The sequence below is a fragment of the Homo sapiens genome, chromosome 4 (genome assembly GCF_000001405.40).
Source record: "Homo sapiens chromosome 4, GRCh38.p14 Primary Assembly".
Lineage (NCBI taxonomy): Eukaryota > Metazoa > Chordata > Mammalia > Primates > Hominidae > Homo > Homo sapiens.
Genome location: NC_000004.12, coordinates 36,163,035 through 36,190,569, shown reverse-complemented (window position 1 = coordinate 36,190,569; position 27,535 = coordinate 36,163,035). Strand labels below are relative to the sequence as shown.

Here is a 27,535-nt window from a genome sequence, read left to right as displayed (position 1 = left end):
TCATGTAGACTAATGTATAGGCTCAGTGGAGCCTCAGTGGAAGTGATAAGAAATGAATTTCAAGAAATATTAAAAATGAGCCATCAGAGATTGTTATAATTGTGATTGATTAGACATAGGATTCATTCATTCAGAAAATATTTCTATAGTATTAACTACATGAAAGGTGGTGAGGAATGTAGATAAATGACCTGAAGCCTATTTGGGGAGAATATATTAATTAAATGATCACACAGGTAAATATAAAGTCACCGTTTAAATCACAATGAATAATTGTTATAAAGGAAAAATCCAGGTTGCTGTTAGCTTAAATTAGGGTTATCTGTGAGGATGAGGGGTTTGAGAGAATGTGCTGGTCAGAAAGGCTTTCTTCAGGAGGATATATTTATGCTGAAATATGAAGGTTGAGGAGGCAGTAAGTATGTGCAGATGGGCGTGAAGACAATTCGTTGCAGAGCAAACAGTGTATGCAAAGGCACTGGCTTGGGTAGAAATGTGATATATTCAGGAAACCTCAAGAAAACCAATGTGACAGTAATTCACAGTTGGTGAGTGGTGGGGAGGAAGTTTATTCTAGATGTGGGGAGAATGCAAGCTATGTGGGTGCAAAGGAACCAGCAAAGGTCAAAGATGACTTCATTCTATTTCAGATGGACTGGAAGAGTTGATATTTTAATGGACAGATATAAGGAGAGTGTAAGTCTTCAGGTGAAAATAAATTCAGTTTTACAGTTTATGGTGCTTACAAGACAGTTACATAGACTACTGATGACTTGAAATATGGCAGTGAAATTGAGTGAAATGAATAGATAAGAAAGGAAGAGAGAAATTTTAGATTACTCTGCATAAAGTTGGTAGAGCTGGAGGACATTATATTAAGTGAAATACGGCAGGAACAGAAAGTTAAACAGCCCATATTCTCACTGATGAGGAAGCTTTTTTCAAAGTGAATCTTACCAAAGTAAAAAGTAGTACAGAGGATAGTAGAGGCTGTGAAGGGTAGGGAGAAGGAGGACATAGGGAGAGATTTGTTAAAGGGCAGGAACTTATAGCTAGAGAGGCGGAATAAGTCCTAGTGTTCTATAGCACTGTAGGATGACTGTAGTTAACACTAATTTAATATAGTTTCAAATAGCCAGAAGGAGGATATTGAATGTTTCCAACACAGAGAGATGATGAATAATTGAGATGATGGACATGCTTGTTACCTCTTCTGGTCATTATACTTTATATGTATCACGACATCACTATGTATCATGACATCACTATGTATCCCATAAATACGAACAGTTATTATGTGTTAATTTAGAAAATTAAAAAAAAATAGTGGAAAAGGATTTTTATAGGGAGAGAAGATAAAGTAAAAAGGAGAAGAAATAAGTTGTTTACTAAGTGCTTATTTCTTGACATCCTTCTCTCTTTTCTGTATAAGGTTGCCCATTCATCTTCCTGAATCACAGCTCATTTGCCATACTCAGTTTTGGCTGCATGGGAGGACATAGGAGAGCCTTCATTGCATTGGTATTTAAGATTACATTAAAGAATGGATAGGATTTTGATGGATAAATAAAGTCAGGGATGGGAGATTGGAACAGAGCTAGTGAAGGAGAAGAAACTTAAAAAATACTCAGAGATAATGCCATGATGATATAGTGTATCTCCTTAAATAGCAGAAGAGGATATCCTTCTGGTAGAATGCCATGATGCTAATGATGACTGTCCCTTACCAATTGCTAAGGCAGGAATTTATGGCTAGGAGAAATATAAACTCAGTACTTGCTCCCTGCATGGAATGGTTTGCTGTTTTTTCCAAATCAGTTATATCTGGGACCTGCTCAAAAGTGTGGGTTCCAAGGATAACGCTGTGGAAGGGAAGAGATAAAGAAATCCCTTAAGGATGTATCCAAACTCTTTTAATATTGCAGACCTTCTATAATGTGTCCTTGGTATGCGTTATCAGCCTCCTATCTTTTGACTCTATGTTGTTGTCCTCTTATTTCTCTGCCTTACACTTCCATTATTTAGTCTTTTTGACTAGAATGCCCCCCACGCACTTGTCTATCTGGTTAAAATTAAGGTTTTTTAAAAGTCGGATTTAAATACCACCATGTTTGTAAAGGTATACCTCACAGCCTTTAAGCAGAATTGAGATTTTCCGTCTTTGTACTCTTAAATCCCTTAGTTTTTACCCAGTTTTAAACTCTTCTCTCATTGCAGTAGCTGGGTTTTCATTTTGAGGCTCCTTGAAAGTATAAGCACTCTGAATTTTCTTTCCAACACGGGGCCCAGAAAACATAAAGAGTTGAAATTGTGCAGTAGTTATCATGACATGATTTGAGAGGGTCCAGGAAAATGAAGATGGATTAAAAAGTTATCGAAGTCTTAAGAATGACCTTTTTTAAACAAAATTTGTAATATTTATATGCTGTTTGGAAACAGAAAAATCTGTCTTTTTTTATTCTTTATTCATTGAAGAGTAAAAATTAAAATGATACAGTTTGAGGTTGAGATGCTCATCATCAGAGCTTTGAGTAACATGGTTAATTTAGAAAACCCGATATGTGTTTAAGGTATATTTTGGTTCCTAATAAGTAACAAACTCGTTTCAAAATGGTTCAGTTACAGTACCTGTTGTGGCCAGCAGATGCCTGCAAACACCATAAAATCATTTTGAGCAGATTGTTTTAAAGAACATGCTGCTGGTTTTTGGAACTCTGTATTGCTAGTTTAGTAGGATTGTTTGTATTTGATTCTTTCCCTTTTAATTCCAGATGAAGAGAAAGTTGAAAAGATCTCACTTCAAAGAAGGGGATATTTAATAGTTTCTTTTCTAGGGTATTACATGAGAATATGAGTGGACAAATTACTTGTATGGCATTTAAAAAATTTGGATTGAAATTATAAAGAGAAGCAGTTATAAATACTGTGCCATTCTTTTTTGATAAGATCAAGAGAATTTCGTTTTCATATGTCTTCTCTTTTTTTCTAACCAATACAGGAGATGTATTCGAAAGGAATAATTCCCCTTTCTGCTATATCAACAGTACGAGTTCAAGGAGACAACAAATTTGAAGTTGTTACAACACAAAGAACTTTTGTTTTTAGAGTAGAAAAAGAAGGTGAGATTATTTATTTATCCATATGAAATACATTAATTTCTGACTAATCATATTAATAAACCAGTTAGACTAGGAATGTCAAGAAACCTTTAAATATATTACTTTTTGATAATTTACATTTTAAAATTAATTTTTCAAATGCATAATGTTAAAACATAAATAAGTTGACAAGTTATTTGTTTCCTCTTTCATGCAACAAATATTTAATGAGAGCCTATTGTGTGCTAAGGACTCATAAGTTCTGCATATACAATGTGAAAAAAAGTAGACACAATTCTCTGCTTTCGTGGAGCTAACCTTTGAGATGTTGTTTTGATAATGCAAAATAGTTATTTGATATGCAAAAACAATTTTTCTAACTATTAAGTTGGTTATATGGACATTTATGGCAGGCTCAGTGGTTCCCAACCTTTTTTGCACCAGGGACTGGTTTCGTGGAAGACAATTTTTCCATGAACCGGTGGTGGGGAGATGGTTCCTGGATGACTGAAGCACATTACATTTATTGTGTGTTTTAGTTCTGTTATTATTACATTGTAGTATATAATGAAATAATTATACAACTCACCATAATGTAGAATCAGTGGGATCCCTGAGCTTGTTTTCTTGCAACTAAATGGCCCCATCTGGGGCTGATGGGAGACAGTGACATTGTCAGGCATTAGACTCTCATAAGGAGCACACAACCTAAATTCCTTGCATGCACATTTTACAGTAGAGTTTGTGCTGCTGTGAGAATCTAATGCCACCTGTGATCTGACAGGAGGCAGAGCTCAGGCAGTAATGCCAGTGGTGGCTATAGATGCAGCCAGGAGTGGCTGTAGATACAGATGAAGCTTCACTGGCTCGCCTGCTGCTCACCTTCTGCTGTGTGGCCCTGTTCCTAACAGACCATGTAATGGTACCAGTCCATGGTCTTGGGTTTGGGGACCCCCGCTTTAGCTGACCGCACAGGCACAGTAATCATTCTATGGTAGATTTTGGAGCATCTTTTATATTTCTTGAATTCTTTTCATCTATATCATCTATGGGGCACTTGATGGTAAAAGCCGACCCAAAGATGGCACATGTTTTCTGGATTGAGTTTAAATGTGTACAGAGAAATATTTTCTGAATTTTGTTTGAATAAGGGTTGGGGAGGAGCCAGAGAAATTAAAAGTTCTCTGTTGTGTATTTTATTTGACTATCATAATATGTCATTACTATAAATTCACTGGTTTTAATAATTTAGATAATACCATCGCATTAAGAATTAGTATTTAACTTATTTTATGGACAACTTTTATTTAGGAATAGATATATAATTCAACTTGATTTTTAGAAGTACTTCTTGGTGCTTTAATTATTTGAATTATAATGGTATGGGAAATTGACTGAATACCTGATATGTGCCAGACACTTTGCTAAGTCTTCATTTTCACAACAGTCTCATAAGGTTGGTAGTATTAAAATTATTATCCTTTTTTTTTTTTGAGACAGAGTTTCACTCTTGTTGCCCAAGCTTGAGTGCAATGGCGCAATCTCGGCTCACTGCAACCTCCGCCTCATGGGTTCAAGCGATTGTCCTGGCTCAGCCTCCCAAGTACCTGGGACTACAGGCATGCATCACCACGCCCAGCTAATTTTTTTTTGTATCTAGTAGAGACGGGGTTTCACCATGTTGGTCAGGTTGGTCTAGAACTCCTGATCTCAGGTGATCTGCCCACCTCGGCCTCCCAAAGTGCTGGGATTACAGGCATGAGCCACTGCGCCCATCCATTATTATCCTATTTTTACAGATAAGAGTGTTCACCACCAGTTGGAAATGACTACAGTGTTAACTGTTATGGGGTAACATTTTCTTTTTTTTTAACTGCTAGATTCCTGGCACATATGTCAGTGCATAGCACATAAAAAGCAGTCAATAAATATTATATACTACTAAAACGTTTCCATTGTTTCTTGGGGTACTCAATAAATGGGTACATTCCAGCCGGCCTTCACACTGGAGCAGCTTTGTTCAAACTGTGGATTACTGAGATCAACTTAGTGGTTTATGATGTCACCAGAAACACCCTCCCTCAATAAAAAGACAAACCCCAAACAGAAAATAATAAATATCAAAGTGCATTGCTTAAAGTAGATGTTATATTGTGAAACCTATCTATGTACATAGTGTATAGATGTAACATAAAAAAAGTTTCTTAGTATTTAAAAATAATGTTGAACGAAAGCTAGAGTCCCAGAGTAGGGGTCAGCAAACTGATCTGCAGCCTAAATCTGGCTCAGTGCCTGTTTTGGTAAATAAAGTCTTGTTAGATAACAACCATTGTCATTCATTCATTTCTCATTCATTCACACTCAGTGGTATCACTGAGTAGTTGTGGCACAGACTGTGGCCGGTAAAGCCTAAAATGTTTACTATCTGAATTTTCAAAGACAAAGTGTGCAAACCCCTGCCCTCAAGCATTTTACCTAGAATTACCTATATGAGGAGCCACTTTTTGTGAATTATTGCCTGAAATTCAGAAAACTGTCCACAGTTGTGATACTTGATATGAGAGTTCCATTTGAAATCAGAGTTTTTCTCTTACTGTGTTTCTTGAAGCACATGGCATTGCTTCTCTTGAATGACTATTATGACAGTCTTTCCTTATGGTTTGGTTTCCACCACCCTGAAAGGTAACTGCTTGTTTCTTTGAGGTGCTTATCACCTTTCTCTTGGACTCTCCAAATGAATTTCACATTGCTATGTAGCCTGCATTTTAAGATAGACACACTAAATACAGCTTCCAACTTGTATGAAAATCTGTTTAGCCATATTTACTTGACACATTAAAAGTTAAACAGACACGTTTTATTTAAGTAGAGTGTACCAATCCACACATGTTTAAAAAGTGCATGTTCACAATTGACAGATAAATCCTTCTGTGGTGTATAGTTCATCTTTCTGATATAAACTTGGGGCAGTATAAAAATTTCATTAACTTCAGTATAAATTTTTCGTTTTTAAAATAAGTTGTAGGTCTTTAATTTTTGAAACCATAGACATATTGCTTCAGTGAAAACACTGTATACACATGGAATTACTGAATGAGTTATTTTGATTAAAAGTTCTTTTTACATAGTAACAACTCATGATTTTAAAGATAAGTGGGTGTAGAGGTGTGTGTACGTATATATATATATATATATGTTTATGCATCTATATGTTTTGTATGGAACTTTCAACAGTACACTAAATATGTTTTATTAAGTGTACTTAATACACTTAATAAAGTGTTATTAATAAAGTATTATTAAGTGTAAACTTAATACACTTGATAAAGTTTCCTTCTATGTATACAGATGGTTAACTATCTTTTATTTTGTGGGAACTGGTAGATCAACTAGAGTGGCTTAAGGACTTTAACTTAATAAACTTGAAGCTAAATTCAAGTCTATTTTGATTGAGTGAAGAAGCAAAATTAAAGTTTAGAACAAAAAGGGGAAAGTTTTGGCGTCTTAACAGACATGAATTCTTTACTTTTGGTGATAAGGCTTTGAATGATCTATATACAATAGCTATTCTTTGTCTTCCCTGACCAGTGTTGTTATTTCTAAACTGCTCCATCACCCCCTGGTGTTACTAAGACAGGATTATAGTTTGGAATCTTTTCCTCACGAGTTTTCTAAGGCTCCTATCCCTCCCCGGCTAATTTCCTAATGAAACATTGTTCTTCTCTTAGTTGCAAGTGAATTTTATTGAAATAATAACATTTAAAAAATACACTTCCCAAAGTACGAAATTAAGTCTGACTCCTGTTGTTCTCAAGCAGAGTCACTGGAATTCGTCTGTGGATCATAACAGCTATTGATCTCTCCAATCAGTCTGTATTCCTTTGCACCTGCAGTCACACATGGAGATGTGATACTTCAAAACACTCGTGATGTTTTGAGTGCACAGTTCTGGTGCTTAGAAGAGAGCTTAAGAATTTTGAGTGGGCATTCCCTTTCCAAGGCCATTTTCAGAACTGGTGCTCACCTGCAGGCCCTGTGCTTCTGTCCATCTTAGCAGATTCTAGACCCCGTGGGAAACATGCACGTGTGTTATTCTCTCAGTTCTGCTTTTAGACAACATCATACAGCCATCCAGTGGCAGCTCTGATACTGATATGGAAAAGTCTTTTTTTTTAATTAAAAAAAATTTTAAAAAGAACATAAGAATGCCCCCCTTAGTTTTTCTGGGCAAGCAGACTCTTACCTCTTTTGAAATCTTCAATGTTTTTCAAAGCAAGGCATGAAACATTTACTATCCCTTTACTTAACTCACCCTCCTTAGTCTCATTAATGATGGTTTGCTAAGTGTTTCCTTTGAAGACTTCATTATGATATTCTGGAAGTTTCTGACGTAATGTATTTTAGGAACTTGCTAGGACTCCAAATTCTGTTTAAAATACTCGATTGTGGGGCCCCAAGTCTGGTTTTAAAGGCGATCTCTTGGTTTTAGGGTGACTGATGTCAAATGTGTATCTCCATCCTGACCTCTTCCTGTACTCCACAGTCATATATTCAGCAGCCTACTTGACATGCCAACATGGGTGCCTAGTAACACCTCACACTTGGCATATCAAAATTCCCATTTCCACCCTCTCAACCAAACTTTCTCCCTTGTAATCTTCCTCATCTCAGCAAATAGAAGCCTCAGGTGCTTAGGCCGTGAAGTATGCAGTTATTCTTGAATCTTTTTCTTCTCACTTCATATCTAGTCCATCAGTTTGACTTAGAAAATGTGTTTAGATCCTGACCAATTCTCAACAACTCCACTGCTATCAGGATTATTTTAATCATCTCATGAGATCAGCTGTCATCACATTTTTCCTGTACTTGTCAGAGCAGTTATTTAATACGAAGGTCAAATCATGTCAGTTCACTTTACGCTCCATGGATTCTGCATCTTATTTATTTATTTATTTATTTATTTATTTATTTATTTAGAGATGGAGTCTCGCTCTGTCACACAGGCTGGAGTGCAGTGGCACAATCTCGGCTCACTGCAAACTCCACCTCCCTGGTTCAAGCAAGCGATTCTCCTACCTCAGCCTCCGAAGTAGCTGGGACTATGGGCGTGTGCCAACATGCACGGCTAATTTTTTGTATTTTTAGTGGAGCTCGGGTTTCACCGTGTTAGCCAGGATGGTCTCAATATCCTGACCTCGTGATTTGCCAGCCTTGGCCTACCAAAGTGCTGGGATTACAGGCGTGAGCCACCATGCCCGGCCAGTTTCTGCATCTTACTGAGAGTAAAAAGTACTTGTGAGGTCCAAAAACCCCGCATGATCTGGCCTTGGTCTTTCTGTCCTTATCTTTTTGTGTTCCCTTTCTCCTGTACTGTGGTTGGTTCACCTACCAGGGCCTTTTGTTCCTTGAATATACCAAATCTGCTGTTGTCTCAGGGCCTTGTTACATGTTCACCTTATCCTAGAATGCTCTTCCTCCAGCCTGCTCCTCAGCTGGACCTGCTTCTTTACTTCCTTTCCCATCAGGCTTTTGGCTAACCATCCCCTTCTTCTGAGGCTTCTTATGTATCCTGTACAAAATAATACTCCCTGGGCCCCCCATCTTGTGTTTAAGGTACCCAATTGCACTTGCCACTGTGTAATGTATATTTAAGTTTTTATGGCCTTCCTCCTTTCACTAGAGTGTAAACTCCAGGAGAATAAGGTCATGGTCAGTCTTGTTCACTGCTCCATTCCTGGTATTCAGAATAGGTTTGGGAACATAATAGGCTTAGTAAATATTTGTGTGAGTGATTGGTTATCAATTTGAAGAACAACACTTATGTGCACTACTTCCTTCTCTGATATTGATCAGGAATTTCATTGAGGGAACTTTAGTCAGATCATATTAACATATCAGAAGTAAAGGTCCAGCTAAACTTTATTAGATAATGTTGTTGATGTTTTGCATGGCCCTTATGTAGTAATCTCTAGTATAACCAATCCCTTGTTATTAAGGAGTATGCCTACTGCTAAACCCAGTAGTCCAGAGAATATTGTCTCGATTTTTCTTAAACCTCTTTTTTTTTTAATTCTTATACTCTAAGCTGGCATTCCTGAAAACATCAAGAACTAATTTGAGGTTTTAGGAATTTACTATTGTTTTGTATTTACATTCTAGCATAATCACAAGAAAATGGCAATTTCAACACTTATTCTTTGCTTTCCCCACTCCCTTTCTTTTTGTCCAGCCTGGAATGCTATTCTTAGAGCCAAGCCATATGTAGGTCAGAGCTTGTTTCCAGGAGGATTGGTGCTTAGCACAGTGCTAAGATCAAGATAGACACTCAATAGATATTTGTTATCGGTAAGAATAAGAAGTATCTTGGTTTGAAGAACAGGCAAAAGCTAGCACAGTATCTAACTTTACCCTAGACTCTTGTCCAATGGGAAATCATTATTTGGTTTGGAATATTGTGACTTATCAAAGCATATTCCCCCATATCTCAGGATGCACACATTGCACGGCCAAATACAGTTGACACTTGTAATCTATTTTATTGTGTTTAGATTATCTGTTCCGTTGTTCCTTTCCATTGACATGGCTAATTCAGAATAAACTGAATGCTACTATTAATTCCTGTTCTTCTTCGTGACTGTTTACTTCCTATTAGTAACTGAGTCCCTCAGGAGCTAGATAATTCTTCTAGGCTATGTGTTGAGATGCAGCCAAAGTAAGGTTAATTCCAACAGATGCAATTGCCAGTTTTAAAGTAATTCCTGAGAAACTGAAATATATGCTAACAGTAATCTAAAAGCCATAGACACTTAGGCCCAACTCATTAAATTATGACCTACATTTCAAACACAGTGATTTATATGGGTTAGCACAAATAAAGAAACAAACAAAAACCATTATGTACCATTTATTCGGCAGGAATATCTTACGTGAAACTAACGATCACAAGTAATAACCAGGTTAAGTGGAAGTTCTGTTGCTGTAACTGAAAATGTAATAAATTATTGTAGTACAATCTGGATCTGTTTATGTAGATGGAAAAATGTAGAATAGCTGCTGCATATGGACATTGACTTAGCTACTTGAATATTTTAATGTCTTTTGGTTTATGATGTATAACAATGCTAGGGACATTTGATAAATATTTCATCCTGATATATTGCAACAAGCACCAATTCTTTTTTTTTTGGCGGGGGAGCGGGGGGACGAAGTTTTGCTCTTGTTGCCCAGGCTGGAGTGCAGTGGCATGATCTGGGCTCACTGCAACCTCAGTCTCCCAGGTTCAAGCTATTCTCATGCCTCAGCCTCCTGAGTTGCTTGGATTACTGCCACCATGCCCAGCTAATTTTTGTGTGTGTAGTTTTAGTATAGACCGGGTGTCACCATGTTGGCCAGGCTGGTCTTGAGCTCCTGACCTCAAATGTTCCTCCCCTCTTGGCCTCCCAGAGTGCTGGGATTACGGGTGTGGGACACCACACCCAGCCATCAAGCACAAATATCTGGAAGATTATGTAACACCTGCAATAAAGCACTATCGAATGAGTTTTTTAATAAACATTTTGACTTTGGTGATTAAAGACACAATCAACTGTTTTTATTAGTTTTGAAGGCGAACAAGAACAATGATAATTGAAAAAGACTCATTATGAAATAACTTTGGATTCAAGTTTGAATATGAGTAAGTGTAATACGGAGACTTACTTCAATCCATAATGAAGTCACTGGGCAGACCTGTCTGAGAAGGATCTGAGAAACTGTCCCATTTCCCAAACTGGGCTCTGCTTTCTCTTCCTCCTTCATCCTGTGAAAGCTTTTACTACTCGTGATTCAGTATGTTTTGCTTTATTTCCTTTTGCTTTGATAACTACTTCTCCATATGTTCTGGTAGCCCAATTTCCAGCCTTATAGATATAGTTGTACCTCAAGGTTTGCCAGTTTCTTCTCCTTTTACACTCTATGTTAATTCATTTCCATGGGTCTTCTTACGTACAGGTTACTGTTGTTCACATAGTGCTATGAGTCTGCGTGGATGCGCATGCCACGGCACTGAAAACCTGAGGTTGTTCTGTTAACTAATTGGATTCTCCTTCTTCGCCTGGCCAATTTCTGATGCCACGTTACCTTTTATTCTGAGTAATTTGTTTTTCTTATCAACACCCATCATATGTATACAACTAATTTTTTTCACTCTCCTAAATGCCTTAATTCCTCATTAGTCATTGTATTTCAATTTTCACAGTATTTTAAGCCTTCATTGCCTGGTCCCTGATCTTCAGGCTTCCAGTATGGTCTACCTGTCATTGTCTGTATTATTATAATGTCTTTTTATTGCTAAAAATGGTGAAATGGTTTTCTTTTGCCTCTGTAATAAAGACAACATTCCTAAACAGGCAGTATGAATTCCCTGGTCATATTTCCCATTTTTTTCGTGTGAGTTCAGAGTTATAAATGTATTCATTGATAAATTAATCCCTGAATGGATGTTGGTTTTTCTGCCTTTGTTCTTCTGGTAACCTCTGCTCAAAATCCTATTCTCTTCCCTCTTCCAAATTCCAGTTTAGTCTTTTGAATTGCTCTTCATCCTCAAGATCTACCACATATACCTCTTTTTTACCCCCATAGTTTCAAGAAAAGTTGTTCGAGAGTTAAAACATTTGATTCTCCTCACTTTAATACTAACTTGCTATATGACCTTCAGCAAATCACTTATCTCAATTGACTCATATATTATTTCATACCATTTATATGACGTTTATACTACTGTGTTCCATTATGTGTTCAAATCTTGCTTGACTTATAGCTTTAATTGCTCCTTGGGGACTAGATCGAATTCCTATGCCTGTAACACAGTGCATTGTTCATAATTGAAGGTCACTTAGCTTTTGTGGAAGGAGTAGGAGAACCAAATTTTAATTTGCCAGGTGAAATGCTATTGTTATTTACTGTGGTGAGAGTGGAATGGGTAAGTGACACTGAAGCAGGCATACTCTAGAGCAGGTTCCAAGTGATTGGAAGTAGGATTTTCGGGGTCTTTGAGTAACTGACTTGCCACATACAATCTGTTAATTGTTGGGTAGCAATATCACATTCTTCTATTAAAAGAAAATCTAATCTCATGAGTGATCTAAAAGAGGGCTTCTCAGATATTAACAGGGATACAGAGCATCTGCAGTTCTTTTTAAAATACAGCCTGTGATTCATCAGATCTGGAGTAGGGCCTGAGATTTTGCATTTCTAATAAACTCTCAGGTAAAGCCAGTGGAACTGATTTCAAGACAACTGGATATTGTTACTCCTTTTCCCTCAAAGAATTGAGTCATTGGCTCTGTTTACAGTAGCATTTAGATTGTGGTTGTGGGAAAGAATCTGTCACTTATGTGTTGCAAAGGGCATGGATTTCTTCTTGACGTTTCTGTGTCTATGTAACTTATATGTGGATTTATGTATTTTCTCCTGTCTTCATTTTCAGAGGAGAGAAATGACTGGATCAGCATACTATTAAATGCACTGAAATCACAATCCCTTACCTCGCAGTCTCAAGCTGTTGTTACACCTGAGAAATGTGGATATCTTGAATTGAGAGGCTATAAGGCAAAAATTTTTACTGTGTTAAGTGGAAACAGTGTGTGGCTTTGCAAAAACGAACAGGTGAGCTCTGTTATAGTCATTGCAAATTGCTGCTATTTTATTATAGTAACAACTATGTTTTGTTTGGAAGGATTATTAGTGATTTTACTTATAGAGTCTTGTTTTAGCATTGTGTACTCCACTAAATATACCAAAGAAATAGTGATTTTGTTGAATTTTCTTGGTGTCTCCACCAGCAAGAAAGTACCTCCATCAAACTTGAAACTGGACATCACCTTTTGTGGTATTGAGGAAGTAAAATTATTGAAAATAATTTTTGAAAAGTCTTATTTAGTTGAAATGACATTGTACGACTACATGAGAGAACAATTAAGGACCAATGAACCCTTACAGCTGTTGATGAAATAGGACCAGTTCTGCACCCTGTGCTGCTTTTATTTTTTGTGATAGAAAATTATAGGGTAAGCACAGGTAACATATTTGCTTGAGTTTACAGAATATTATTGGTCTGTTTTATTTTGAACAGATGTATGTAAGGTATATATGTATACACACACACGTCTATATAAGTACAAATTCAAGTGCACATACATACATACATCTAGCTATACACGCACATCTACATAAATAAAATCGATTAAAATTATTGGTTTACTAAATTTGATTAATGTCAAAGGACTCAATAGAGTATTTAAATGTTTTGATGAGTCTGATGGTAAACTAAAATTTTAACAAATCCTGTTAGCTTTGTTTGATTCTGTAGACTTTCTTTTTTCTAAAATTCCTTGTTTTTAATATGTATATGTTTTTAATATGTATAATATATAATTCTTTACCCCTTTTTTTTTGGAAGAACTCCTTTTAAAATCCTTCAGCCTAGAATATATTAGATGCTTAGTAATTGTGGAATTGAACTGTGCACTTTGGATAGCTGATCTAAGATGAACTCATTTTATGATACATCATTATGGGTTATAGTAAGGTGGAATATAAATGCTGACTATTTTTTATAAGAAAAATAGGAATATCAAAACAAATAGTAGTTTCAGAACAATTAACTATAGGCATCCTCTGAACTTTAGTGTGAACTTACACATTAAATATTTTGGAGGAGAAGATGTCTTAGCCAATTAACAGTTGAAGGCATCATCAAGCACTCTTGGCTTATTAATAATGTGGGTAGTTAGCATATTCCTCAAGCATAGTTTAATAATGTATACAAATTGAATATGAACATTTCAGTCTACAAAATAAGATGATTACAACTTTTCTTATTGGAATGGAGGTTAAAAATACATAATTTGCATGTATCTGTATGGAAGTTACTCTGCCAAATTAACTAAGGTATTCAGTTTATACTTGCATAGACCTGATAGCAAGACCTGATAGACTTGCATAGAGTTCAAATGATTAGTTTCATTGCTCACATTAAACTGTCTGAGTTTCTGTTATTCTCTAGGAATAAGATAAATATTTTAAAAGTTTTATTAACACTTTCTGATTAGTGAAAATGTACATGAAATTATTGCCTTAGTATTAGGAATTGAGTGTGAAAAGCATAATGAATACTGTTTGCTGAGTACCAGGTACAGTAGACATTTCCTTTTAATCTTCACCACAAATATAGGAGGAAGACATTTTTGTCTATGTTTTGTAGATGAGGAAAATGAGGATTAAGTAATAGGTCTAGGAATTACAGTTTATAATGCAGAGTTGAGTTTAAAACCGGAACAGTATAACTCTAATTCTAGCTTCTTAACCACTCTACAAACTTCCTTTTTAAAGTCTAGGTTGAAGAGAAATTTTCTGACTTGTGAACTTTTAGAAATAGCCTAAGGATTCTTTCATTGAATAATTTAGTTGCCCAGGAGTTTCAGGGTATGCTTTCAATAAACATTGTATACCATGTCAGGCACACTAAAAATGATGGGTTTACTGAGAAGGACACAAGTCTTGTCTTCCAAGAGGAAAAGTCAAACAAGACCAGAATATATGATGGATGGTGAGGTCAGTGCAATAATAGGTTGTACAGGAGTTACAGAGAGGTGCAAAAAAAGGGCATCTGATGAAGTCAGTGAATTAGAAGCATTTCCATATACATGAGAAATGAGTATATTCTCCTTAAAAATTAAAGCATTAAGGCTGAACCCCTCTCCATCTTTTGATAAGTAAACATTTTTATGCTTGTATACAAGTTCTTTTCTATGCGTTAACGTACATATATACATATATATACACACACACACCTTTAAAATGTATACTATTGTTTGTGTATATGTGTGTGTTTTTTTTAAATTGCATTATATCATATAGATTCAGGTCTTAAGGGACTTGGTCTTTAGTCAGTCTTAAAGGATGAGTTGGCTCAAGAATGAGCCGATAAGGAAGGCCGTCCACGTTCAGGCCCTGGCATACCATTCCGTTTTCATGTATTTTCGCATCCTGGTATGTGCCTTTTTCCCCAGAGGAAAGTTGCCCATTGGTTTTCTCCCGTGATAGAGCACATGTGAAAAACCTGGTGACATGCTGAGTAAAGGGTCTTCCTCCTCAGTGCAGAGGGCTTTCTGCCAGTGTGGGCATCAACCTGTGTTTTAGGAAAAGCACTAAACAATAGTAAGATGATTTGATGCAACTTCGAAAATTTTATACAAACACACACAGTAATCTTGTGTATCCTTTCAAGGTGATGAAAAAAATCTATTCATCATAAAAATGTAAGTGATGTGAGATTTGAACCTCTGTATCTTAATTTGTGTTGGATTTAGTGACATGCAACAAGGCTTACTTTTATTTTAAAATGGGATTTATTGCCCACATAACTTAATAGCATGAATAGAATAAAAAATAATGAAATTGACCTACACTACCCTAACATAGGAACTATTTTTATTTTTCTTGCCTCTAATTTATACATAGTTTTAGTAATTTACTTTGGCAGTTACTCCAGAGAGAGTAAACAGACAATGGCTAGAGGTGGAAGTGTAGCTATTACAGCAAATGTTGAAGAGTTTTTTAAAGAGGAATCTCATTTATTGCAAAGAAGATTGGACTGGGAGGTTGCAGTTGTGGGTTTTTATTCTTGTTCTGCTACTAATTGGCTCTGGTAATTAAGTTAGTCTCTTCAGGTTTAAATGGCATCATGTGAAGAAGGGAGATGGATTACTATCTCTAAGGCCATTACTTAGGTTGCTTGTTAAAATTCCACATTTCTGAGCTCATTTCAGATTTGTTAATTCAGAATTTCTGGAAAGGGGTTGTAGAATCTGAATTCACAAAAAAGCACCCCAGGTGATTCTGTGATGGATGAGCCAAAAACACACATTGTAAAACACTGCTCTCAGTTTTCTTCTTAAAGCCTATCTTTAGGCTTTAAGAAGAAGTGGAAAATAACTATGAAAATATTTGTAAAAACATTTGTTAGAGTAGAAAATGGCATAGTAAAAACTGACACTCAGATTCTTTACCTAATTACCATGCTGCAAAACAGTGGGGTGCTAATATCACATAAATTAAATGTCATCCCTTAAATATTTAGCACCATTTCACAACTGCATTCTGCTTTAATTTTTGCACATTTTCTCCCATTCCTTATCTCTGCTTATGTTTTGGATGCCTGCAATGTGTTATAATATGACAGTTTTTCCATATTATTTCAGCATTGTTTAAAATGAGCTGTGTAATTGGGTTTGTATAGGTTACACTGTAGTGACCATGTTTCTGGATTCATTCATCCACATGACACATGCAGGGGGCATCTTCTCATTTCTGGGCACTGCTCTAGAAACTAGAGGTACAGTGGTAACCCACAAGATCTCTGCTTTCTGGGGCCTTCCTGAAGGGGTAACACATAATGTCAAATAAATAAATTAGGTTTCTGGTAACCTTCTATATGTAGCCTTGTCTTCCTTTCTGATGATGATGATGATTATTATTGGCAAGAATTCCTATGAGCTGTTCCTCAAGAGTAGTTTACATTTAAAATGTTACAGCTATGTGATAGGAATCCAGTTACATTATAACCTTAAAAGTGTTAGATTTATCATTTTTATATTCCCAAATTGACAGTGTGAATATTTACTTTATTCACTGCTGTATCCTCAGGCAATAAGCTAGCACTCAGTAAACATAGGTAGGGTGAACTTGTTGAATTAATGATCATTTATAGCTGTTTTTATTTTCACAGAAGAGTTTTTTTTCCTCCAATTCGCTTTAAAATTTTTTTTTCTCAAATTGTCTCTTCATCTTCTTTGTCCATTTATTTATTGGGATCTTATGTATTTCTTGCTAATTACTTTATGTTCTTTAAGAAAGACATGAATCTTCATATTTTCTACAATTTTTTTCTGAACTATTTTGTTTGCTTTTCATTTGTCGGTTCCTTTTTGTTTTGCAGAAATTTTGTCTATGTCCTAAACTGTTTTTTAATCTGTTCAAAGCTGATAGAGCTTCCGTATTCTGGAACAAAAATTATTTTGTAAATTATTTATCTTTAAATGATAGGTGTATAGTGTGTAAGTCAGAATTTTTTAAAAGTTTAAATAAGGTAATCAAATATGGACATATATTTAAATATATGAATTCTTAAATAAGTGGTATTGCTAGTTGAAAGGAATTTCTGCAAGCGTACAAGAGGAAGAGTTAAGACAATTGGCGTTGGTTTCCATTTGTTCTGTTGTCCTGACAGCCCGTCTCCCTTCTTCTCTTGATACTTTTTTTTAATATCATGTTAATATTAATGAATTCATTACAACCAGATGTCTTGCTTGGTGGGTTTGGGTATCCATTTGATGATAATTGTGGCATTGAGGTTTAAACTACATAAACTCACTTGATTAAACATTCTCAAATCAGGGTATAACAAGAGACTCATCCTCCCTCATTCCCCCCCAACATAATGTTCCCTGGTGTTCTGGCATGGGAGTGAAACTCTAATAGAATTTAAATAGACCTCATAGGGCGATGGGTTGTGTGGCACAGAAAGGAGCAGCAGGATGGAGGTGGTGGCCTCAAATTCTCTGGGTTTTGTATCTGGCCCAACTCTGCATCTGGTGTTTCCCAGGAAAGCTGGTGCCAATGTCATACAATGCCACATCTGTTTTCAACAAATGTTTAAGCACCGAGTTCTTAAATTCCTGGCATGGAAACCTGGCATCCAGTAATTCCAAAAATAGGTTTGAGATTTCAGCAGATTTGGGGTTAACAAACCCTTCCCTATTTTTCTTTTTAGGAGTCAGTTTTGTATTTTCCTCTTTCACTGTGTAGTTTTAAAATGTAGTTTTCGCCAGGTCCTGTTGCTGCAAATTCATAAGAATAACCCGTTTCAGTATCTTGGTAAATATTTACCATTAATTTTATCCGAATGTTTAATATGGAATCAATGGTATGAATACTTTCTGTAATTATTAAAAAATGGAAATATTTATATTGAAGATAAATTCTGCTTTTAGAACCCTCAAATGAAAGAATTAAGTGGATGTATCAGACCCTTAATTTATGTTGCTTTATTTACTCTTTATAATAATACCATGTAAGGTAGACCTGACTATTTTCATAAATAAGGAAACTGAGGTCTACATAAACTAAATAACTTGCCAGTGATCAAACAGCCAGTAAATGGGTCAGCTTCGATTCTCCCTAGGCCTGACCTGCAGTGCCTACATGGTCATTGTACCACCCTTGCAGTGGCCAGATCTGCTAAGCTAAGCATAGCCATTGTTATTTTAGTGGGATTCATGATTCTTGACAACCTACGTTCTATCACAGCAAATTAAATTTAAAATATTGCTTACTTCAGAATCTATTTTCAGCCTTCTGCTTTCTATAATACTATAACTCTACCCACTGAATTTTTGTGCTACTGTTTTTTTCAATCCAGTTTATAGCATTTTAAAGGTTGATAGTTTGGCTTATCCCTGGCTCATGCCTATTTTTCATAATAAGAATAAAGCTTGCTATCAGATTGTAGTTAATGGGCAATTTATTTTTAATTTAATTGAACATTTACCATTCACATTGCATTCTATTTTTTAAAAATTATGCCTGCTAGTTATTTTTGGACAGGACTTTTTTTTTGTAATTAAGTTTTAAATAGATACTATGTTCAGTTGGTTTCAAATTCAAAAGGTATAAAATAAAAATAATAATAACAAGAGCTAGCTAGTCCTGTGTAGTACTTACTGCATGCCAGGCATTCTTTTAAACATTTTTTTTTTAATTATTATACTTTAAGTTTTAGGGTACATGTACACAATGTGCAGGTTAGTTACATATGTATACATGTGCCATGCTGGTGTGCTGCACCCATTAACTCATCATTTAGCATCAGGTATATCTCCTAATGCTATCCCTCCCCACTCCCCCCACCCCACAACAGTCCCCAGAGTGTGATGTTCCCCTTCCTGTGTCCATGTGTTCTCATTGTTCATTTCCCACCTATGAGTGAGAACATGTGGTGTTTGGTTTTTTGTCCTTGCGATAGTTTGCTGAGAATGATGGTTTCCAGTTTCATCCATGTCCGTACAAAGGACATGAACTCTTCATTTTTTATGGCTGCATAGTATTCCATGGTGTATATGTGCCACATTTTCTTAATCCAGTCTATCGTTGTTGGACATTTGGGTTGGTTCCAAGTCTTTGCTATTGTGAATAGTGCTGCAATAAACATACGTGTGCATGTGTCTTTATAGCAGCATGATTTATAATCTTTTAAACATTTTTATTCCATTAATTTAACCCTCACGAAACTGATGCTGTAGGTGCTACTGTTATCCCTATTTTGCAAATAAGTGAACAAGCGAGAGAGGAATACCTGAATAATAAACCTGGTCTGGGTTTTGTCCTTTGGCCAGTCAAATGTCACAGTCTTTGGAAGGCCTGTTAGGAACACAACTCTCTCTTGTGGGTTGGATTCAGTACCCCTACCACCAGGCCACCAGGCATTTTTTTTTTTCCACCTACTGCATTTTTCTGTTATCTCATTTTTAGACCAAAAGCTTCCTCAAGGCAGATACCCAGTCTTATGCTTTTTTGCAGCCAAAGGACTAAGCACAGTTTCTGGCACAACTAGATACTTACTAAGCACTGCTTTGCTTTGCCAGGACTGTTTTCCCATTAAAAAATGACTGTAGCTGCTCTGCTTACTTCACAGAACTATTTAGGAAATCAAACGAGAGTTCATAGCTGTTTGTAAACTTCATAGCATGCACAGATAGATATTAAACCAATTATAGAGTCCACTCTATATGCTTAATGAAGACAGATGCTTTTAACACCTCTGGACGTTAATGCAGGAGTTGGCACCCAGGACAAATAGGATCTCACCAATCCAATGTGTCATCCTGTTCTGGCCTGCTTATTTGAAATTGATAGTCTTAATTATTTCAAATGGTTTTTGGTTTTTGTATGTTCTGATTGCATGCATTCTACAGAAGCAGATAAAATGGAGTCTTTTTGGTTTTCGTTTGTAGAGACAGGGTCTCACTATGTTGCTCAGGCTGGTCTTGAACTCCTGGCCTCAAGCAATCCTCTCACCTTGGCCTCCCAAAGTGTTGGGATTAAGGTGTGAGCCACATTGCCTGGTCAAGAGAGAAGTATTTATGTCTTGATAGTTACATATTGCATACTTATACTGTCTAAATTAGTTACATAATGGTTCTGCTATCTGAATCAGTGTTTCTTGGCGTTGGCCACATATAAAAGCCATGAGGTTGTACTTTTGTTTTTGGAAATTAAAAATTCTTAGGTTCTGCCCCCAGATTCATGGAATCAGAGTCTCTGGGTGGGAGGGAGAGATCACCACAGGTAATTTTTGTGAGTATCTAGGGATGAGAAGTATTCTAAACATGTTCTAAATACTATTTAAATACTGTGAAAATAATGGCTTAATGTCCACAGTTTTTTAATAGAAAATGCAGTTGTTTCATATATGATAGCTCTCAAGAGCACTGACATTTATTGTGTTACTCTTATGTATATTTTCCAGTCAATTTATGCTGGTCAGTTCTGTAGATACTCTAATTACTCAAAACCATATGGCCATGGCAAGCAGCTGATAAGTGGGTGGTGCTGTGGCTCACGCCTGCAATCCCAGCACTTTGGGAGGCCAAGGCAGGCAGATCACGAGGTCAGGAAATGGAGACCATCTTGGCCAACATGGTGAAACCCCGTCTCTACTAAAATACAAAAAAAGTTAGCTGGGCCTGGTGGTGCACACCTGTAGTCCCAGCTACTCAGGAGGCTGAGGCAGGGGAATCTCTTGAACCTGGGGGGGCCGAGGTTGCAGTGAGCCGAGATCGTGCCATTGCACTCTAGCCTGGGTGACAGAGCAAGACTGTCTCAAAAAAAAAAAAAAAAAAGTCATCTTTGCCTTGTTTGGGGGAAATTTGAGGTGTTAACCAGCTAGCACTCCCTTATTTTAACAGAAATTACAGCTTTACATGTGGACATTTTATGACTTTCTGTGGAGATGAGCAGCCATCTATTCATGCAGGAGCCTTGATGAGGCTCATCAGTTTCCATAAAAGGTTGTCATTCTTACCATCTGCTAGTATGATGGTCAGAGTATTATGTGTGCCCTTAGTAACATACAGGACTTACAGGCCAGGCCCCCGTCAGAGAATATAACCTGGAATGATCTGATACACAGCTTTTGTCAAATGCCTCATTATGGAGGATTGTTTGAAGGACATGCAGTCCACGTATTTATTCTAGAGTTTATTTATTTATTCTAAAGTTTATTTCTGTATCAATGTGAGCCATCAAAAAGCTGTTTTAAAAATATCTTATCTTGCTACTGCTACCTTACTTAATTTCCTCACTTGTGAAAGAGAGATTGAGTTCCCAATCACATGCATTGGAAGTTTATCCAACGGGTATGTCATCCAGCAGGAGTATAGCTGTGGATAATTGGGGAATTTAAAAAAAATAATAATCAAGTATAACCCTGTGCCAATAGGCTGAAACTTATTAAAATGCGGCAGATTGGAAAAGCTTGATTTTCTTCCTTCCGTAGAGATCATGTTAAGTGCCATTTTTCATTAAGTGGGCTTACTATACAAAGTGGAAGTATGGCACTCCCATTCTAATTATTTTACAGCACTCAGCATTTCTCTGCATCTTTTCTTTTATATCACTGATTGTCAGTTTCTGGCTAGTTTCTCCTAGTACAGTGAACCATTAGTTCTTTCATCAGAAAAAAAAATTCGGTTGATGATTTGTTTTCTAAATGAGTCATTTCCTTATTCTAACTAAAAACTTTATATATTAAAAATGTAAGAGGCTTTCCCACAATTTGCGTCTGGAAACTCTGGATACTGTTACAAGTTGGGGGGCATTTGTTATAGAATTATTTTTTTCCACTTACTTTATAAGCCGGGAACACATTAGTACTAAATGACAAAAACCTGAAGAAGAGCTTAACTAGATGGAGATTTGTTTTAACAAATCTGGTGGTGTAGGCGGTTAAGACTTGGTACTGCCAGAGAACAGGGTTCTCCCTATTTTTGTCCTCACTTTCGCATCCTTAGAGCCTAAGAATTTGTCCTCAATTTTCCCTTTTCTAGGATTGTGAAGTTCTAAAATGACTCTGTGCTTCTAGCAGTTACTTCCCCAGAAGATGGAAAAGTAAGGGCTGAAAGGCTTTCTTCTTCTAAGGCTTTTCGGCCCCTCCTCTTCCATTCTACCAGGAGTTGCTTAAATTTGATTGAAGGAAACTACAACACATGGCCACTTCTAAGTGTAGGGGAGAGGAGAATACACTTCTTTTACTTTTGGCGTATATAGCAGGAGAGACAAAGAGAAGAGGCAGATGAATGGCTCTTTCACAGTCTCTAACAAGTGTCCTTACTGAAAATGGGCCAGTATTTTTTTTTTTTTTGTATTTTGCCTTTAATATTGCTACTTTTCTTTAGTCATAATTTAGGAATTCAGAGCACATTTAGTCTGAATTTATTCAAATAGGTCATTTTTTGATGTACATATTGTTTTGTAAAGTGTGGAGATTATTTAATTGATAAGTCACATTCTGAAATCCATGTGGGTAGATGATGTATTGCAAACTTTAATGCTTTTAGAATGCAGAGTCTGTTGTAGCCTTTTGAACAATTTTGAATTTTCATGAGACAAGCTGAACATAGTAACTATAGATTTTGAACAAATGGCAGTTTTTATACCAAAGTAGCATTAGAGGAGCTTTTAGGAATCTGATTGAAGGGAGATGAAAGCAATAAAATATTGGAAATGAGGTAAAATTGTATATCTCCTAAGACAAGTAATGCTTTTGTTGGAGAGTAAATGAGGGGAAAAATAATGATAAACAGCAGAGGTAATCTAAGATAGTAAAACAAGGAAAGAGCAATCAGATTGGGCTCCAGATCTTTTTTCTACCACATACAACTAGCTGAACTTTCCATGTAACCTTCTTCCTTTGTGCCTCAGTTTTCCCATCTTTTTACATAACTAGTAATGATGCTAACTTCCTAGTATCATTTCCACCTAGGAAACTGCTTGACATACAATAAGAGGTAGTTAATATTTAGCTTCCTTTAATGAATGGATAAGGGTGAATATTGTGCCTACTTTCAAAAGCAAAGCATGTCTAGTTCAGTGTCAGTGGCCTAGTCAATGTTTCTTTCACATGGAAGAAACCCATACGCTATCAATAGTCCAACTGTCAAGCTTAAGTTGGCCCAGTGCTATTATGTATTGAGAGTGGCTACCTAAAGTGAGACTGATTTTGTTGTAAAATTTGGTAGAATTTATTGGAATTTAGAAAATGTAATTATACTTTCAAAATCTTTTTTTTTGTTTCTTTATAGTTTTTTATGTTTTTCTCCAAACTAGGATTTTAAGAGTGGACTTGGTATTACCATAATTCCTATGAATGTAGCAAATGTAAAGCAAGTGGACCGAACTGTGAAACAATCTTTTGAAATAATCACTCCCTACAGGAGTTTCAGGTAAGCTATTTTTAAACATTTTGTGTTCGTACTACTATAGGAAAGCTTGGGTGATCCACCTTTATGTTGTTCGTGGTGATTTTTCTCTTGTAGGCCATTTAAAATTATCTCCCTACTTTTCCATATTGTCTAATTTGTTAGCCACTATATAAAAACACCTTGTAAAAGTGACCTCAATAATCACAAAACATGCAAAAATATGTATTTCATGAAATTTGAGTAATTTCTTAATACTTATTTTTCTTACTAGGCATGGTGTATGTTTTTTTTTTGAAAATATGTGATAAATTCCTTCTCATTTAGAAGGAATAAAATAAAAACATATTACATTGTCTTTAAGTTGTATTGCTATTTATCTTCTTTTAGCCTGATCAAATACAATCCCTCATTTAAAATCAATTCCTAATTACATTTGTTCCATATGATTTCCTCCAGGGCTTAAAATGATACCAAATTTAATGAATCTCATAGCACCTATTGATCCAAATACTTTAGCATTTTTTTATATATCTCATATTATGGTATTCTACTAATTGCATCATTATGACAATGAAAAAGATAATTTAAAGTATTAATATGGTTTAATAAACTAAAATGACTCTATAGTTTTAGTATACAGAATAGGCATAAGTCAACATCTTTTGAGTTCAACTGTATTAATTCGTTTGTTATAAATAATCAACATCACGTGGTAGTGGGCAAGTCAGAGGCAATTGTTCTAGGCCTTTAAAGGACTAACAATTAGGAATTTCAAATATACTGTCAATTGTAGTTACTCATTTTGCATGTCAAAATACATCCATTGCCTCAAATTTTGAGAAAGAAATGGTTGCATAAAATTAACAAGCTTTATTTTTACATTTGCAGATTCTAGCCAAAACTAAAAATATAGGTATTAATATATTGGCTGTGACAAATTTCTAGTAGAACCAGAAACCACTGAGAGTGATGGAATCCTAAAGAGCTTCAAAAAGTATAATTCATGTAGGCCATTTATTTTTAAGGATTATTTAGAATATGTTAGCTGTGATTTTCATTATATTTCAAAGCATGTTCCTCTTTACAACAGAAAATTTTAATATGAATCAGTTTTGTGGGTCATTGACCAAGTATGTAGCACTGTAGCACATTCCTTTGCACATTGCAGGGGCTCAGTAAATATTTCTTGAAGGAATGAACTGCTGTTTAATGTTTTTATTCATTCACTCGAGTTCCCAGTAAACATTAAGATTCAGAATAAATCAGAACGTGGCTAAAAATGTGTTAGAAAACTGTTAGAATAGTAACCACTTAAAACTTTTTTGATTTCCCAGTTCCTTAGAACCATCTGGGCATTCTTCTAATTAAAAAAAAAAAAGAATCTATTCTTAAATCTGAAAAAAAAGTCACAATTCTGGTGGGTGTTTTTGATAACATAGTTTCAGACTATCATGGCATACTTGCTTGGCAAAATATTCCAGTAGCCCTGAAACTCTGCCAAAAACCTCTTATTGATGATTACATAACCATTGCTTAGGAAACATAGCCTCTTGTTTAGGCTTGTGACCTAACAAGGCAAATTTTATGTTTTGTTTAGAAAATGTGTATGTTAATTTTGGTTCAAGATGCATAAACAAAGACATAAACAGTGTGGAAAATTAAAAGGAAAAAAGACGAAGTTAAATGATTTTTAACAGAAAAGACAACCCAGAACTGCCTAGCAGCCATATTTTTCAGCTGTTGTTTAATTTGTGAGTGAAATGAATATGCAAACTGAACATACTGCTTAATTGGCCTTTACAAGGGAGATCGATAACACAGAAACGTTAATTGTTTCAGCTTTACAGCCGAGACTGAAAAGGAGAAACAAGACTGGATTGAAGCTGTGCAGCAATCAATAGCAGAAACTCTCTCTGATTATGAAGTAGCTGAGAAGATTTGGTTCAATGAATCCAACAGGAGCTGTGCAGATTGTAAAGCCCCAGATCCTGACTGGGCATCCATCAATCTCTGTGTTGTCATCTGTAAGAAGTGTGCAGGTAATTAGTGACAAGTTATGCTCATCACAGCTTTGTGGCAGATTGGCATTGAATGCTCTTCATTGTTGCATATTATATATCCTAGCTAATGGTTATGAGAAGTAAAACCAGAGAAAGCTTATTACATTTAAATCAAATTCAGAAATATGAGTCTAAACTTCTCTTATGTATGACTTGGATATAAAAATGGATTTTTAAGCATGCAATCATATTTTATGCCTACTGGTCCATGTATAGATTTTAAAAAGACAGTGTTGAAAATTCTAGATTTTAGGTGAGTATGTTTTAGTATGGATCCTGAAGAAGCTTGCATCTTTAACTTGAAGATTTGTCCACCTTTCCCCAGTCATTTTTGGTAAGACATATTTTTCACCTCAGTGTTGTTTTGAGCACTAAACTTCATATGCCAGATCTGGTACCTCTTAAAATAAGAATTTTTATAAAGAAGCATTTCACAAGACTATTGATGTTTATGAATATAAACCAGTACTATGACTGGTTTTCTTCTTGTGACCTCACACTGGACAACCTGACATCTCAGTGTATTTGAGAGCTCAGACAGTTGCCCAAGTGAGTGGAAGGAAGTGGACCCCAGCTTAGGTGTGTGATCATGGAAGTTTTGAAGAAAGTTAACCACAGTCTAAACTTCAGTTATCCTGGACTGCCTGTGTCCCACCACCTTCTCCCCCACTGTATGTACACACACACATACACACACAAACACAGATGAGAGAGACAGAGAGAGAGAATTCAACTCAAGTACTAGGCACTGTGCTGGTGCGGGGAATTAAAAACATGTATAAGACATGACATTTCCTCCACAATAATGAGACAAATGTTGGACTAGAGTTGAATACAGGCTTCAGTGAGAATGCTGGAGAGGAGTTCCTACCTCAGCTAGAGCGCAGTGAGTAGTGCAGTCACAGGAGTTGCTTCAAATCCTGAACGCTTTTCTAGAGCACTATTCAACTGCATTTCTCATCAAACTAAGATAGATTTCCTCACCAGCTAATTAATAATATCAATCACAACAAAAAATGCCAGTGAATCACCTTCTACTTTGAATTTTATCCCATCCTTTTCTTCTCTCCAGTTTCATTGGAAGAGACGGCCTTTGTGCTGTTCACAGCTGTTTTTTTCTACCTTTGCTTCCTTTCTTTCTTCCCTCCTTAGGATACATGTTCGTCATTTATTCACTCTCTTATGTAAGTATTTAGCCATGGTTTCTTTTGTTTCATTGTATAAACTTGCACAAGTTTGTCTCATTACCACCATCAGGATTTCTAAAAGTTATCCATTTCCTTCTATGTGTCATTCTCTGTCCCCTTTTTCTTTCATAGACAAGATATTATGAAAAGTTGTAGTGTGCATAGGTTTTTTTTCATTCCTTTAACTTCCTAAGTTTTCTTCAGCATTCTGTAATCAGCTACCTTTTAACTGCTGATGAGCTACCTTTTCTCTCAACTGTGGTAAAAATCTTTTCACCACATTTACCAACGTATTTTACCTCTCAGTTTCGGTGTGGTCACTTACTATCTTTATTATTGTCTCTTTATTTGAGTGTCTCGACAACATGTCTCTCTATGACATCCATCCTCTCTCAGCTTCCAAGATACCAGTCTCTCTTTGTGTTCTTATTACCAGTCTTTTTTTTTCCAGTATTTTTTTTCCCATGTATTTCCATGCTTGTGAAATACATGTGTTCCCTTGGGTTACATTCTCACTTCTCTTTTACTGTGTTGCTCCTGAGTGATATTATTTATCACTTTAATTCCACACTCATTTTTAAGCAAATGATTCTCACGCTGTTGGACACCAAACTCTTATGATTATATGCCTACTAGAATCTCTACTTAGATTTGCCAAATACACCTCAAAT

General features: G+C 36.0%; 1 protein-coding gene across 17 annotated transcripts in view, besides 1 other annotated feature; it reads left to right on the top strand.

The window, feature by feature from the left end:
* ARAP2 (ArfGAP with RhoGAP domain, ankyrin repeat and PH domain 2) overlaps positions 1-27,535 on the top strand; it is a 239,381-nt gene that overhangs the window by 54,215 nt on the left and 157,631 nt on the right. For 16 of the 17 annotated variants that reach the window (XR_007096351.1, XR_007096352.1, XR_007096353.1 and 13 more), the window contains exons 8-11: positions 2,999-3,119; positions 12,565-12,743; positions 23,523-23,638; positions 25,457-25,656. Coding sequence is in view for 7 of the 17 variants with exons in the window: in XM_047449575.1 (XP_047305531.1) it covers positions 2,999-3,119; positions 12,565-12,743; positions 23,523-23,638; positions 25,457-25,656 (616 nt within the window). In the remaining 10 variants the exon portion in view is untranslated. Of the gene's footprint in view, positions 1-2,998; positions 3,120-12,564; positions 12,744-23,497; positions 23,639-25,456; positions 25,657-27,535 lie in introns of those variants that run through there. The other variant, XR_001741123.2, reaches the window with a different exon arrangement.
* Positions 352-401: an enhancer, noted in NCBI's record as "active region_21407". NCBI's record gives its function as "activates an Ori minimal core promoter by ATAC-STARR-seq in GM12878 lymphoblastoid cells {active_cell/tissue: GM12878}" and the evidence as "EXISTENCE:reporter gene assay evidence [ECO:0000049][PMID:35858748]".